The 17,335-nt window shown below is 39.4% G+C and overlaps 1 protein-coding gene across 2 annotated transcripts in view; it reads left to right on the top strand.

Annotated features, from left to right (window-relative positions):
• Positions 1-17,335, top strand: part of PLCB1 (phospholipase C beta 1) — a 752,635-nt gene that overhangs the window by 558,227 nt on the left and 177,073 nt on the right. For both annotated transcript variants that reach the window (NM_182734.3, NM_015192.4), the window contains exon 11: positions 7,134-7,291. In NM_182734.3, coding sequence (NP_877398.1) covers positions 7,134-7,291 — 158 coding nt within the window. The remainder of the gene's footprint in view (positions 1-7,133; positions 7,292-17,335) is intronic.

Genomic DNA, 17,335 nt, shown 5'->3' on the forward strand with positions numbered 1-17,335 from the left:
GGACTGAGACAGTCCCTGGGAGAAGTTAAGTCTGTTTCTTGGCATGGGTCACAGGATGGGTGGCAGTAGTTGGTCCATGAGAATTCAAGGCCTGAAAAATACCTTAAACACCAGTCTTAGGTTTTATAATAGTGATGTTATATATAGGAGCAATTAGGGAGGTTACGAATCTTGTGACTTCAGTCCTAAACCATAATTCCAACCTTGTGGTTAATTTGTTAGTCTTACAAAAGTTGTTTTGGTCCCCAGGAAAGGAGGGGATTAGTTTTGGAAAGGGACTGTTATCATCTTTGTTTTAAAATCAAACTATATACTAATTTCCTCCCATAGTTATCTTGGCCTGTACTCAGGAATGAGCAAGGACAGTTAATTTGTGAGGTTAGAAGCAAGATGGAGTCAGCTATGTCAGATTTCTCTCACTGTCATGATTTTTGCAAAGGCAGTCAAATCTACATTCTCACAGTATTACCTTGCCCCAGTACCAGCCATTTATTTTCCTGCAAGGAAATTAAGGAGAATTCCATATAATTAGAAACAAAACTATATAAAAATATAAATACAGGCTCTTGAAGTTTTGCCTGAAATGCTGTTTTGACTCATGGGTCAAAATTTGGTTTTACTTCACATATTATTGGTAGAATCATTGTTTTAATTACAGATGAAACTAATGTAGAAGTCCTGTTTCTCAGAAGCCTTTGGATAAACTCAAATTTCTATGATATAAACATTCAAGCTACCCCAAATCAATTAAGAATGTTATAAAATAAAAATATAACCAATGCCTAATCCAATTGAATCCTATTAAATTTTTAAATTAATATCTAGAAAATAATTTAGTTTTTATACTTTACAGCCATTTTCAGAACAAGTAAAAACTGTATTTATAGAAACATTATTTCATATAAAGAGTGGTGGAAAAAAGAAAGTTTTCCTATTTAAATGAGTTTAAGAAATGCTAGGTGCAAAGGAAGGTTAGCACCTACCGTAATGTGTTTTGAATATAAAATAAAAGGATCAGAGTCTCACAGTCATCAACTCTTCATCCTCCTTGTCACCACCCAACTTATTTTCTTGGAGCATTTTAAGGACTAATATTCCTGAAAAATGCTATCTAAATCCAAATAGGAAGAATTTCAATATTCAGGATATTTTCTTTGAGCATCCAAAGGGACTGTAAAAATTAAATATACAGAATGAAACCAATCAGTTTAGCAATGCATTATTATTATGTCTATTTCTCTGCTCATTATTGCCCCTTTGTTGAATATCAAGATGCCCAGAAGTAAAAATAAATTGTATCATTGAGAGAAATAGATGCACTGAATGAGTGGTTTTTAATTATCATGGTCACTTTTTGGATTTGGGGTGATTTTGGCAGTACCCTCAGTACTGATTATGTTTTAAATTATTGCTTTTCCTTGAGGAATCTGCCCTATGACTCAAGAAAAAGAAATCTTCCTAGGAAGAAACACTATGCAGTAAATACAACCTATACTTGTGCACCTCTTCATAAACCTTCCCATACTCCCAACTATTTGGGAGATAATGGCTTCAGAAACACTGGAAAGGCAAAGCAATCTATCTCCGGACAGCTAATATCTTCATTCAGATAAGAAAGAAACCATTAGATTTGAGGGTTTTGCTATCCCCAATAATCTGATGAATTAAATTATCTGACTGAATGTTTCTGATAATTATTCAACTCCTCTCCTCATGTATAAGTTCTTGGCTGAAGAAAAGTTCTAAAAATGATTTAAGACCTAGCTGTACCCTTCCCAGTCATCTGCTACAAACCCAGACTTTGAGCACCCCTCCTCTCTTTCCCATCTCTCCCACTCATTTAGCCCTTAGCATATGCAACGTTTTATCATTTGTTTTTGCTTTAGAGCACACACAGACCTAAAAAGTCAGGTGGTAGAATGAAAAGAAGATGAGCTTAGGAAATAAACAGGGCCCAGTTTAAAATGGCCTTTAAGTAAATGACATACTTAACTCATTTGAGCCTTGGTTTGTTTGTAAAATGTAGATAAATTAAAACAGCCAGGGTTCTTGTGGCTGAAAGTAATAGGATGCTATTATTTAATGGCTTAAAGATTTAAGCAGTGTATTCCCTCACACAGCAAGGCACCCAGGAGCAGAGTGGTTGAGGATTGGTTAAATCAGGAATTCATTAATATCATGGAAGACCCAGGTGGTTTCTGTCTTTTTGGTCTCCTTATGGTTTCAAGATGACTGTGTACCCTAAGCATTACCTCCCTGTGAACCAAGATCCACAAAGGACATGGCGAAAGTTCTTGTGACCCTTCTAAGAGTGAAGAAAATGTTCCTAGAGGTTCCCTGACAGCCCCCCACCTCCATCCCCTCAATCTGGTAGGCATTCTTTATGCCATGTTATATATAGCTCAGAGTCACACCACACATCAATGCCCACAGTAATTGCTAACATGGGCCACAGAACTACCATGACTGACTGAGAAGAATCAAGATTTACCCCAAGGCTGCAGAGAAGACCCTGAAGCATATCAGAACCTAGATAAAATATTTTACTGGCAAGGAAAAAGAGAAAGAAGAGACAGAAAGGGCAACCAGAAGTGTAAGAATGGGAAGAAATTTATGTTTGCCTCCCTACCTGGATGGTAAGGGTAAAGGAATATGTCTCATATCACTTTCATATCCCCAGTAACCAGTATTTTGCCTCCCACAGAAAATGTTTTGGGGAATATGTACAAACACATAATGGTGAAGCTCCTATAATCAGTAAAGTATATACTTGAAGTCATTTTCTTAAGAGTGGAAATGACTTTAGGCTCTTACATAGACACTTTGTCTCCTAAGCCATCTCATGGCAACTGCTCTGTGTTCAAGAAAGCACCATGGTTTCACTGGGGCAGCAGGCAGATACCATGTAATTGAGAAATCAGATCAAACAGATGCATCTAGAGAGGGTCAAGACAAATAATACATTCTCTGCATTTTGGACAGTTTCCTCAGGTGTAGCCATGAGATTATATGCCCTGAATGGCTGTCATAGCATTGAAAGCAAGGAAATGTAGTCCTCATCTCCATCTGTTGAAGGGGACAATAACTATTGAAGAAGGCCACTGAATTAACAAATATATCACATTCTGGAACCTTCTTACCCTGGAGGTTGAAGGGAAGACAATAATGATAAATATGAAAACAGGCAATTAATCATCAGCCACTGCAAGATGAAAAATTCTTCAGAAGTTTGTGTTAATGGAGGAATTGCTATTTTTGATCTTCTGGTTTTTTCTATCCCTGGATGCCTTGGGTAATCTGAGACAAAGCTCAAGGGAATGTAACCAGCCACCCAAAATGAATGCACTCAAGTGAGAAGTTGCAGAGCTGTGACTTGGGGCAGTATTATGAATTACTCTGAGAAGGAGCTTCAGCTCCCAAGTTCAATCATGGACTTGGAATGTATTCCAGAGGATGTTCAGAGCCAGGGAGAGATGATGTCAAATACTAGTTTCAGAAATACCAAAGGTTGAATGACTCATGACCTATCACTAATCTCAACCTTCAGCGATCCGCTAGCCCCAGAAGCTATATTTATTCAATATATTCAAATGGAAATATAATGGGTAGATGAGATGTAATAATGAGTTAAGAATTTTAGGGAACAAAAATAAATCAGCTTTGAGGCTTAAGGCAGAAAAGAGAGTAACAGAGAATATGAATACATGTGTTTGAAAAATATTTCCATAAATGAAGTAAAACATACAGGGAACCTAATATGCATTCCAAGGAATAGGATAATTATGGATAAATGTGGGTTTTCTCAAAGTATGCTTTCTTTGGGAGGGTTCCATTTCTAATAAAAAGTATTCATTTTAAGAATGAACAATGAGTTTACCTTGGAGGGATTCTGTTGGTCTTAGGTGGACAATAAACTCTTTCTCTTTTTTATTCTTCAGTTTTTTTCCCCACATTCCTTTGCATCTCACAAACCCAACCTCATGCCTTACCATGGTTTTCAAAACATTAACTGATCAACATTCAAAAAATACATCAAATTCCTTCTCATTGTTCTTTGATTAAAAATATTCACAAGAAAATCTAAGGAAATGTTTCTCAAAACTTTGAACCTCTTATTACAGAATGCTCTAGTGTCTGTTAGGTATTTATCTACTTTGATACACTGTTAAATCTGATTAAATTCTTCACACTATCCTTACTAAAGTTAGTAACATTCAACTAGTATTAATGAAATTGATTCAGAAATTGTACAATATGTAATTGTGTTGATATAGTCAGTGATGTGCGTAAACAATTCTCTAAACAGTACACACAAAAATCTGCTCTATTCTTTAATACCGGTGCAATTTTCTGCAGGAGCAAGCATTTTAAATTAAATAACCTGATAATATTTGAATTATTCACTTCCTTTAGCTATAGTAGCTCCTCTTTAAGTTTAGAAATAACATATAAATGTTTGTCTTTTCCCCTTTACTCCCACTGTCCCCTTGTCCCTAATGCAGAAAAGACCTTTGTAAATCTTTGCCATGACAATGTACTTTGAAAAGGCAATTAGGAATGGCAATTTGATTATCCAGCATCAGGAAGTTTCTAGATCATTTTGTCAGCATTTCTGCTTTTCCAAATGCATCTTTGTGTTGAAAACATCCCATTTTTCCAGTAGAGAAAAGTTATTATGCAGACCCACTTAATCAGCCTTTCAGTGCATTTACCAGGGCTCTATAGAACTCAAAAATGTCATCCTTTTGTTATGCTGGTGGTTGAGTATTATGACATGCATATAAAAATAAAATTAAGCTAGTAGGCTTAATCCCATTTTCTTTGTCCTGTGTGTCTCCACGGGGCACATCTTGTCCATGTCAAAGTCATTTTAACAGTTTGCATCAATATGCCATCTTTTAACTGGCTATTTAAAAAAATGATGGTAGGCCAAATGTGGTGGTTTATACCTGTAATCTCAGCACTTCCTGAGGCAGAGGCAGGAGGATCGGTTGAGCCCAGGAGTTTGAGACCAACCTGGGCAACATAAGGAGACTCTGTCTCTAAACAAAATACAAAAATTAGTTGAGCATGCTCGTGCACATCTGTGGTCCCAGTTACTTAGGAGGCTTAGGAAGGAGGATGACTTGAGCCTAGGGGGTTGAAGCTTCAGTGAGCTATGATCACACCACTGCACTCTAGCCTCGGTGACAGAGTGAGATCCCATTTCAAAGAAAAACTTTTAAAAAAATGATTGGGGCTTATAGAATATAAATCAAAGAAAATATTTAATAGGGAAAACCAAAGACTTCAATTTGTGTGTTGCTAATGGGCCTGTTGCAAGAGCTATTTATTATTACTCTTTCAAAAATAGTTTATCCTGAAATTAGTGACTTCCACTGACTTAAGTAAAATAGGAGCTTTTGGCTTCCATGCCCTGTGTATTATAATCAAGGCCCTCAGACCTTTCAGGTGCCTTCATTATAACAATTCTCATCACTTTAGTAGGGTATGTTAGTTCTATTCACAGAAGTCCCATTCTGGTAAAGTTTATCTTTTTCTTCCATTGCTTGTGTTTTTGGTGTTGTATCTACAAAACCATTGCTGAATCAAGGTCACAAAAATTTACTGCTGTGTTTTCTTCTAAAGGTTTTGTAGTTTTAGCTCTTATATTTGTACACTTGATCCAATTTGAGTTTAGTTCTCTATGGTATGAGGTAAGGATCCAAGTTCTTCTTTTTTTATTTTTATGTGGCTATCCAGTTGTCCCAACACTATTGAAAAGATGGTTCTTTCTGCACTTAATTGTCTTGGCAATTGTTGAAAGCCAGTTGACCATAAATTGAGGGTTTATTTTGGAAATCTCAATTCTATTTCCATTAATCTATATGTCTGTCTTTATGCCAGTACCACATGGTCTTGATTACTGTAGCTTTGTTTTAAGTTTTGAGAAGTGTGATTCCTCCATCTTTGTTCTTATTTTTCAAGATTGCTTTTGGCTGTTTCAGGTTCCTTAACATTTCTATATGAACTTTGGATCAGTTTGCCAATTTTTTCCAAAAAATCCTGGTGAGATTTTGATAAGAATTGAATCTTTAGGCCAATGGTGGGGAGTAGTGTCATCTTAGCAATACCAAGTCTTCTGCTCCATGAACATGAGATGTATTTCCATTTATTTGGGTCTTCTTTAGTTTCTTTCAACAACATTTTGTAATTATTAGAGAATAAGTTTTGCGATCCTTTGTTTAATTTAAATTTATTTATTTATTTATTTATTTTTGAGACAGAGTCTCACTCTGTTGCCCAGGCTGGAGTGCAATGGCACCATCTCGGCTCACTGCAAGCTCCGCCTCCCGGGTTCACACCATTCTCCTGCCTCAGCCTCCTGAGTAGCTGGGACTACAGGCGCCTGCCACCACACCCGGCTAATTTTTTGTGTTTTTAGCAGAGATGGGGTTTCACCATGTTAGCCAGGATGGTCTCGATCTCCTGACCTCGTGATCCGCTCGCCTCAGCCTCCCAAAATGCTGGGATTATAGGCGTGAGCCACTGTGCCTGGCCTTAAATTTATTTTTTTTTAAAGAGCACTTTTAAAAACAGAATGTTTAGCTTTTCTCAGCATTTGTGCCTTTGGCAAACATGTCAGAGGCAGCTGACTTATATAATAGAACAGTCTCCCAACAATAAATTCTCATCAGGAGGCAGTCAGAATTAAAAGAGTGAGTTTTGATGCTATAATCCTGGATCTTCTACTTCCTAGCATTGGAAACTTGGGCAACCGAACTCTGTGCCATTTTATTATGTGAAATGGGTATTTTTTTATTAAATAGTTATGCCACAGAGATTTTTTGTGAAGATTAAATGTTTAGTATATATACAGTCCAAAAACCTGTAATTGGCACATGGTAAATAGTTAATAAACATGCATCGTTGTTATTGTTACAATGCCCTATCTTTTCCCAAAGCACTACTACAGATTCTATTTGAAATTGAGCCATTACCTTCTGGTATGTTGAGGCAGAAGAAAGGCAAAGAATAACTGCTGCAGCTCTTAGACTCTTTGTTTTCCTGTTATTGAGGAGCCTTTCTAAGAAAGCACCACGGTCATCCTTGCTTCATGGGAATCTGGGGTTTGTTTTGTTGGTGTTTTATAGCTGGCCAACTGGCTGGAAACTCCTCTGTTGAGATGTATCGCCAAGTGCTCCTGTCTGGTTGTCGCTGTGTGGAGCTGGACTGCTGGAAGGGACGGACTGCAGAAGAGGAACCTGTCATCACCCATGGCTTCACCATGACAACTGAAATATCTTTCAAGGTAGAGTATATGAATGTTACTAAGAGAGGCAGCTGGAGACACCTGATTCCTTTTGGTTAAAGCCTCCTAAGGTAGAAAGTCCCAGTGGTCACAATTAAGTCCAAAGGCTGTTAATCATCTTTGCAATTTCAGAGGCTAAAATTTGGCTGTTTATTCATGAATAATTGGCATCAGGTGAATTAATTCATGCTAACCAAATTCTAAGGAAACTGTCTCGTGAAAGGAAATATCAAGGTATTTGTCTTGTCCTCTTTAGCACTCTTACTCCTAATTTCTTGCATTTTATTTTTGTGAAATATCCATAAAGAATACAGACAACTTATTTCTATGCTTTAACTAATGGCTATAAAGTATGCATCCATGTAACTACCATCTAAATCGAGAAATAGAAACTTGGGGAGTACCTGAAACACTTCCATGTATCCATTCCCATCAGAATGTCCCGTTTACCCTCAGAGGTGACTACCATCCTGACTATTACAGTGGTCCCTACTTTGCGCTTCTTTAGAGCACAAAGTACAAATTTATATGCAGCCCTAAATGATGTAGCTTCACCAATTTTTTTCACTTGTAAATTGATTCACACTATAGTATACATTATTTTATGACTTGCTTTTTTCACTCCACATTGTTTAGAAGGTTCATTAATATTGTTTCAGATAACTCTAGATTTGTTGGCTTTCTTTATCATGATGATAGTATTAATTATTACTGTTAATTATTATGTAAGATTCCATTCTGTGATGCTATCTTTTGGAATGTTGACGTCTATCAGTCAAAGACCCCTAGGAACATACCTATGGTCAAGTTGGGTTTGTTTGCTCATACAACAAAGGAGAACACATGTTGTAGGGAGCTGGAGTGTCTCAGTAAAAGTTTATTAGAGAGGACTTACAGGACTTGGGCTTATAGTAGGTGATTTGGGGGACGGTTCAAAGGAGAAGGGTTTTGCAGTGGATTGGGTGCTGTCAGGAGGCACAAACAATCCTATGAGAGGGTATCTTAGTAAATCCTATCTAGGAAGCAGGACTAAAGCTGTTACTGATAAAGATGCATCAGCCATTCTTGTTAGTGAGAAATGAGGTGCATTTGGTCTCTCTCTTTTTCCACCCTTAGCTCTATTTTGCACCACAAGGGGCCACACATTCATGTGTATGGACACCCAAGCCCAAATATCTAAAGTCTGTCCACATGTCCTGCAAAGAGCCTTCCCCAGGGGGTAGGGGCCATTGGAGTAGGGGAAATCTGGGGTCCTAGGTACTTGGAGAGTGACTGGAGAAAGAAGTTGTGGGCTTCAGGGAACATGTTCTCTCCGCTGACTCCGGCTTTCTCACCCCTTTAAATGGGAATCAGAAGAGAAGGGCCAGAGGACAACCTCTCGCACTAGGTCCCAAGGCATAAGCCCTGTTGCCTGGGATACCTGGGTCTCAGGGAAGTGTCACTAACTCTTATCTGAAGCAACCAAGGAAACAGAGTCCAAGTAAGTAATTAAGGTGAGTGGAGACAAGGCCATTGAACATGGGAGATCAGAGTACTGAGAAGCAAGAATATGGGATGAATTCAATGTTAATATCACCAAGGTTAGTGACGAAGCTTTGGATGAAGAAACTGTGTGCCACTTGCCAACTCTTTTCTGAATAAGGGTGGCTCAGTAGATGGCAGAAGTGAAGAAGAGGTAAAAACTCTTTTGGCTGCCTCATGGGAACTAGGATTTTTTTTTAAAGAAGATTGAAAGGTAGTGTTTTAGAAGTAGCATTGAGAGCAAAAAGATCCCAAACCCCAGCTTCTTAATGTGAAACACTTGAGATGTGAGAAAATAAACAGTGATCACTGAAGAAAGCAGCTAACAAGAAGCAAGATTTTCAAGGGACAGCCAAGTTTCTGTTTAGACAAAAGGATTTTTCTGATTGAAGTTGCTGTATTAGACAATAATAAAAATGTTTTCAGCAGTAATATCATTCACACCTAAAAATATGTGTATTATGTTGTGCCTAAGGAATACGACTTTTCATTTATGCAACTTAGCCTACAATGCAATAATTAGAGAAAATAGCACCCTTCACTTAAATTTTACAACAAAGTTTAATACAGGGTTGACATTAATTCTGATCAAAATCTTTAAAAGCTGTGTCTGTTCCTGAAATTGAGCATGATTATGACCCTTGCATTTTCTTAAGTGGAAAATCAATGTTTAATTCATTTCCATAGTCCCACTTCTTCCCTCTCAGACCTTGCTATGGTCCTTTGTCAACTACCTAAGATGCAGTCTAACAGTTGGGCTCTTTAAGAAAAAGTGGAGACAGGTTACCCCCATGTGGAACCAGTGCAGCTTGGGCTCATCTGTCTGTTGATGGATGATGATGCTCCTGGAATGGCAGACAGCACGCCCTGATGGAGCTGAGAGCTGGTGGCACCGCACACTGCCCATCCGCCAGGAAGACCTGCCCCACTCCCTCCCCAGGCCACTGCCCTGTCTACCCTCCAGAGACATTGTGAGAAGCAATTGTTATTTTCTTAATAATTTAAAATCCTCCAAGTTCTCTGAGTTCCTTGTGGGAGAATAAACACCAAGCACATCCTAAGGCATATTTATTTTATGTGGAGCATTTGCTTCTTGGCCTCTGCCTGCCATTGAGTCAACTTGGAGTGACTCTCCTTGTGCACTCGATCATAGAAGTGGTTCTTCAATTACATCTGTAATCCCAGAGTCACGGGCTGATTGAACATCTCTTTCTGGGCTCTGGAAGCATGGCTTCTCAACCACGTCCATACACTTGCCAGTGGGTGAGAGGCTTAAAGACTAAAATCTAACCCAGAATGCTGCTTTCTCTCTCTGCCTGCTGGAGTTGGGAGTGGGGAGGTGACCAGGATGGCTAAAGACAGGAGTGAATTCATCATCCCAGTTGGTTTTTCCAGCTATTCCTCCTGCTAATGCACATAGCAGGATAGACAGTTCTGGCTGAGATGTGGGGAGGTGACCAGGTTGGCTAAAGACAGGAGTGAATTCATCATCCCAGTTGGTTTTTCCAGCTATTCCTCCTGCTAATGCACATAGCAGGATAGACAGTTCTGGCTGAGATGTGGGTAGGTGACAGTGGGTGAGGATGGATGTGGGGAGTGGAAATGCCAACCTATTTTGCAGACTGATATGCAGTAGCAAGGATGCTTTGCATCAGGACTGAGACTAGGAAAGACAAGTAAGTCTCCTAGCAAGTAAAATTTAAGGACGTCTTTGCTCTCAGGGCTGTGTAAGCACAGAGCTGGCACTAGAGAGTGAGTGTCTCTTTAAATTTTGCACATAGTCGCCTCTCTTGCCTCATCCTAGTCCCAACACTGCTTGCATGATTATCAGCATGCAGTCTGCTTTCCCTGAACCCAGCGTGTAAAGTGACTTTGTAATAAGAAAGAGTAAGAAGAGAAACAGGGCACAAGGCCCTACATAATCTGCAATCCCATTACCTTGTTTCTTACTGCTTTCCCCCTCATCCACTGGGCTCCAACAGTACTGACCTTGCTGTTCATGGGCTGTGCCAGGCTGGCCCCGCCTCACAGCCTTTGCACAGGCTCTTCCCTCTGCCTGGAATGGTATTCTCATAGGTATCTGCCTGGTTCTTCCCTTGCCTCCTTGAAGCCTTCCTCAAATGTCACCTTCTCAGTGAGGCCTCCTGGGACCCATCTATTTAATACTGTCACCAGCCACCACTCCCAATCCCCACACTACTGACGTAACCCCTGACACCCCCACTTTTTAGTAATGTATTTTCCTAAGGCACTTATCATATCACCTTCCAACAATCTGCCTAATTTGCTTAATTCCTATGTTCCTTGTTTATTGTCCCTTCTACTAACGCATAAGCTCCACAAAGACAGGGCTCTTTGTTCTGTTCCCTGATCTGTCCCAAGTTCTCTTCTTTGAGCAGAACCTGACATATAGTAGATGCTCAATAAATGTTTTTGAATGAATTTTCCCTTCCCAGAGCAAGTAGATCAAATACAGCATAACCTCCATTTTCAGTCTTTCTTGCCTCTGCTCATCAGATAAGTGAATTTGTCTTTCTCCATCCTACACATAATATGTTGGTAGAGGCAGGGAAAACATTCCCCCAACATTTGCCAGTTTTAGCTGCCCTGAACATTTGGGCCAGATATTCACAGTATAATTAGACTATATTCTATAGCTACACTGCATAGTGCAGCAGCAAAATAAACTGATTGCAGAGTTCATTTTTATGTCACCCAGTGTATCTGCTTTCAGTATGTGTGACCTGGAAAGCTTCTGTGTGATAGATCCCAAAAGCAAGAGATCCTATTGGCATTTGCTCCCTGTTTACTGTATGGGTCAAAATAAAAAGTTACGTTCTGGGAAAGGAGACATTCAGCTCCTTTATGAAGGGCTTTTTGTTTTGTAGTCTGGCTTTATTATTTATCCCATATATCTGTTTCAATGCCTCATCACCTTAGCCTTCCTGGTGGCCATGACATAGCAATTCACCACTTAGTTTTTTCATTCTCTCTTCTCCCACCCAATATCCTTTCTCCTTACGCTTGACACCACCTACCCACCTCCTTCCCAGGGTGGTTTTTCTCCCTTTAGGCAGCTTCCTTTTAACCAGCAATTATATAAGATGGAAAACTGGATAATGTAATAAAATATATGAGGAAAACATATTAAATTAGAGTAGGTTAAATCCAGCATTTCTGAAAATAAAGTGTCATTCATTCCCTGAGAAAAACAATAATTTAGGATGCAGTTTCACTGCTACCTAAATGCACATATAAAATGGATATCCAAATACACCCTACTGTTGTCTGTCGAGGATAAAGGATTTCAAGGCCAGTTTGTCTCACTGGAGTTTAGTAATTGAACCATATGGCTTATAGATTATTGAATCTAGTGTTACAAGTCTCTGAAAAACAATTTTGGCTTGATAAAGAGCAATGGAGCATTACCGTACTTTCACATCCAATGTCCACCAATTACAGCAAGTATGAAAGAATGTAACTTAAAAGCTATAACTGGTTTTCTCATCCTAACTGATCACGCACACCATACAAAATATTTCAAAGGCACAAAAGCATGAAAGTTCTCCAGTGGAACTTCTGAAGTTTTCAGTTGCTCCCAACTAAAATTATTAGATGAAATTTAGTAATTTTTTTTGCTTTAATAATTGGAAAATTTTCCTAAGCTGCTAGCTAAAGTTATGGTAGAGATGGGGAGAGGTGGACAGAGAGAGGAGGGAGAAGGATGGGTGAGAAAGAGAGAAAGGTGAACACAGAAGGTAAGGATGCTACTCTGGAGATGACTGCCAGGGGTCCAGTACAAGCTCTTCCATTTAGTCACTGCAAGACCTTGGAGAAGCTTCCTTCCCAGTGCAAGTCTCCTTTGTTATCAGCAAACTGGAGATGATAATAGTGCTTACCTCCTAGGGTGGTTGTAAGTAAGCATTCAATAACCCTACTTAATACACAAATATTGCTTAAACTATGCATGGCATGCAGTGCCTACTCTATAAATGTTAGCTTTGGATGTTATCATTGAAATTCATAAAAGCCAAATGTTAGCTTTCTTTCTGTAAATATAATGGTTGTGTGTTACATAGGCATGGACTTATTAAGCCAGAGTGAAGGTGGGGGGCTAAATTAAGTCATCTGTAAGGCTAACATGGTAGAAGGTGTGGGCATCCTCTACGCTCAACCCATGGCATCCACTTCACCTCCAGGAAGGTACCAGAAGCCCAAATTGTAGTAAACTAAACACAGCCCAGGCCTTGGTTAGGGGCCCAGTAGGAGCAGAGAAGGGAACAGCAGATGAGCTTGGATGCTCCACTGCAAACATGAGTCCTAAGCCAAGCACACAAGATCAGAAGTACACAATGTCAGAGGCAGGACAAATGGAAAAGCAGGGGAAACAACACAGGAAGATCTAGGAACCCCAGTGGCCCAGCTGTAGTTCAGACCACACTAGCATCCCCACTGTGGGAAGAGAGAATGAAACCCAGGGAGCCAGGAAGATGGGGGGCATGGACTCCCTACAAGTCTAAGAGGCCCAGAGAAACACTCACATTTTATCAACCAAAGGAAGATACGAGAGAGATTTGACCTGGAGCTAAATACCCACTTCCTAAATTAGAGGAGGGGAGGAGGGGTCTTACCCACCTTCAGATTTGACTCTCCTTGGCCGAAATACCAATGAGGTGAGCCTACAATCCACTTTCATTATTAAAGGCAGCTGGAGAAGTTCTCAAACAGACAATGAAGACAGCCATCATCAGAAAAGTTAGCAAAGATGGCCAGGCGCAGTGGCTCATGCCTATAATCCCAGCACTTTGGGAGGCTGAAGCAGGCAGATAACTTGAGGTCAGAAGTTCGAAACCAGCCTGGTCAACATGGCAAAACCCCATCTCTACTAAAAATACAAAAAATTGTCTGGGTGTGGTGGTACATGCCTGTAGTCCCAGCTGCCTGGGAGCTGAGGCACAAGAATCGCCCAAACCAAGGAGGCAGAGGTTACAGTGAGCCAAGATCATGCTACAGCACTCCAGCCTGGGCAACAGAGCAAGACTTCGTTTCAAAAAAAAAAAAAGAAAAGAAAAGTTAGCAAAGACTAATTACACTTTTATTTACATGTGTATTTGCAGGACTTTTGTAATGTTTATTGGAAATTTCAGCCATGAAGTTGTTAAAAAGTTAATCTGGCTATTAAGTATGAATCAACATTCAATCTTCTGTAATACAAAATTACATTTATCTTTGGTTACAATCAAGTTTTAAGCTTTGCTTAAGCCAATGATCAGACTAGTCCAAGGGTCAACAAACTATCTTCTGCAGACCACATTTATCCTGTCATCTGCTTTTGTGAATTAAGCTTTATTGGGACACAGCCACATCCAATTGTTTACATATTATCTGTGGCTGCTTTGGGGCTATGCATTAGTCTGGACTGTCTCTATCTCTAGAGAGACAGAGTTATTAAAAGGAACTGGCTTATGTGGTTATGGAGGCTGAGAAATCCCAAGATCTGCAGTTGGCAAGCTGGAGACCCAGCTGACCTAATGGCACAATATCAGTCCCAATCCAAAGGCCTAAGAATAAGGAGAGCTAATGGTGTAAGCTGCAGTCCAAGTCCAAGTCTCAAGGTAGGAGAAGACCAATGTCCCAGCTCAAAAACAGTCAGGCAGAAACAGCAAATTCTCCTTTACTCTTTTTTTTTTTTTCCTATTCAGGCTTCCAGTGCGTTGAATGAGGCCCATCCACATTAGGGAGGGCAGGCTGCTTAACTCGGTCTACCAATTCAAATGTTAATCTCATCCAGAAACCCCTCACAGAGACACCCAGAAGAATGTTTAACGAAATATCTGGGCACCCCATGACCCAGTCAAGTTGACACATAAAATTAATCATCACGAGCTACAAAGGCAGAGTTGAACAGTTGCCATAGAAATAGAAACTATATGGCCAGCAAAGCCTAAAATGCTACCTGGTCCTTTATGAAAAAATGTATGCTGACCTCTGAGCTAGTCAATAGAAGAATAAATGGGAACACAACTAGATAAATTCTGTTTCTCTTCTGTCATATATTAGGAGTTCATTCATTCATTTGAAAGTATTTCCTGAGCATCTAGAATGTGCCTTAGCAGAACAGTGAAGAAAACAAGTTCTTACCTCAAGAAGTTTACACTGTCTAGTGAGGAAAGATAGATCAAAATAAACACAAAGATACGGTACATAGAAACATGCCCTTTAAAGCAATCTAAATCAGTGGGCAAGGAAAAGAGAGACCTGAATTATGCTGTCTGGATGGTAGAGGCAGGCCTTTGGTAAGGTGATGTTTAGGCACAGGTGCTGTACTTACTCCCAAATCAATGCAGTAAATCATGCTTTAATGTGAGTATTTTTGACTGAAGGAACAAAGTGCAAAGATGGTGAGATGAAAGCATGCTTGATGTATTCAAGGAAAAGCAACAAGATCAATGGACTGTATCCAGGTGACAGAGAGGGAGAGGAAAAAGAGATGTATTTAAAGAAATGGCAGGTGCCAGATCAAGTTAGGCTGTGTAGATTATGATAATGAATTTGGATTTCATTCCATGTGAAATGGGAGGTCATTGGAAAGTTTATAGAAAGGAGCGAAACTGTCTACTCATGTTTAGGAGCAATGACTCTGGCTATGGTGTGGAATACAGCGGCAAGTACTAGAAGCCAGGAAAGCAATAAAAAGACTGTCAGTCAGCTTCTCCTAGGTTTTGCTGCAATAAGAAGAAACCCTAGGATCACAGTGATTTACAACCACAACGGTTTACTTCTCACACAGGTTAGATGTCAGCTGTTGCTCTGATTGCTATTGTTTGGAATTCATGTTGAAAGAACAACCCACATCTATGATATCACTGGACTCATGGGAGAAGAGAAAGAGAAATGGCTGGACAACAACATGATGGGTCTTTAAGACTCTACTCAGCAGCAGCACATGTCATTTTCATACACAGGCCCTTGGCCAAAATAAAACCACGGCCAAGCCTATGGTCAACAGGGTGTGTAGACAGAATTCTCCCAAAGGAAGGGGGAAGCAAATACGTGGGAATGGTGATAAAATCTACCACAGCAGTCACTGCAGTGGTTTTTGTATCAGGATGATAGCAGTGGAGGTGCTGACACTTGACTGTACTCGGGACCTATTTTGGACAAGATTGCTGATGAATTGAAAGGTGTGAGAGAAGGAGAGGAGGCGAGAATGGCTCTACTGTATTTATCCTTTACCTGATACACTAGTGCCAAATTTATGAAATAAACAAAATCCAGCCCTTTTTTTCCACACTTAGCATCCACATCCTTGATGACCTCTATTCTCAGTTCTTTTGAGGGCTTTGCTCTTAGCTGGCTAAGATTATTAGCTGCATGGAAGTTACTGCAATGGTTGGGTATTAATAAGCTCTAGAGTCAGACAAATCTTCCTGGGGTTTAATCTTGGATTCTCTTCTCTATGACTTAAGGTAAGTCAGTTAATATCTCTGCACCTTAGTTGAATCAAGAATAGATAACCATCATGAGCTGAGTCCTTTGCCTTCTCTTGCTGCATCTTCACAACAGATCTGTGAAGTGAGGTTTATTGCACTTTATAGATTAGCAAACCAATACACAGAGGCATTAAGTGATTTTCCCAAGGTCACACAGCTTGCAAATCTCAGAGGCAAGGATTCAAAAGTCGGTTTGAATCCAAAGCCTATACTCAAATAAATCAAATATAGCATTTAAAATCTGGATGTTGCTTGCCTTTTATAGTGCTTGCTTTTTTTGACAGACTCAACTATCGTAAAAGTTAAACTGATTATGTATGAAAGATAATCTGTGAGTTCATTTCTAAGAAACAGTAAAAGTGATTCTTCTCGCTCCATGCAGGCAAATCCTTCTTAGAGGATATATGCAAATGTAGTACAGAATTAGAAAGCCTTACTTATACTCTGGGGCCAGGGAAATAGCTTTCAGGAGTGGATATAAAGAACGCTATATATTGAATGGGGAAGGTAGAGACGATAGCAGAAAAGGCTCAGGCATAAAGAATAGGAGTGGAAATCCCTATTTAAAAGGAGAATATGAAAAAAATAAATGTAACTAAAAACAAGTGTATGGGAATATGCAACCTCACTACTACTGAAAGTGATATAATTAAACAATAAATGAGACTGCACTTTACTACCAGTTAAATAAGAAAAACATTTTTAAGAATAATGCCCAAAACTGGTGAATATGCATTGAAATCTGGTCCTGCATGCATTACTCTGGGCAATCTAAAGTGAAAAGTAATTTGAAATACATGAGGGACTGTAAGAGTATTCATATTCTTAAATCAAGAATTCCCCTTCTGAGAATTCATTCCCAGAAAATCAATCAAGATATTAGGGAAAAAATGAAGCTGTTCTCTGTAGAATTATTTGAATGACAGCTCTGAAAATGTAGCTGTCCAACAGTTGGGGAATGGTTAAATCAATTTTAATACCTTTACTTTCTAGAATTTTGTACATATATTGAAACTTGTGACATATACAT

This window comes from Homo sapiens, chromosome 20 (assembly GCF_000001405.40).
Source record: "Homo sapiens chromosome 20, GRCh38.p14 Primary Assembly".
Taxonomy (NCBI): domain Eukaryota; kingdom Metazoa; phylum Chordata; class Mammalia; order Primates; family Hominidae; genus Homo; species Homo sapiens.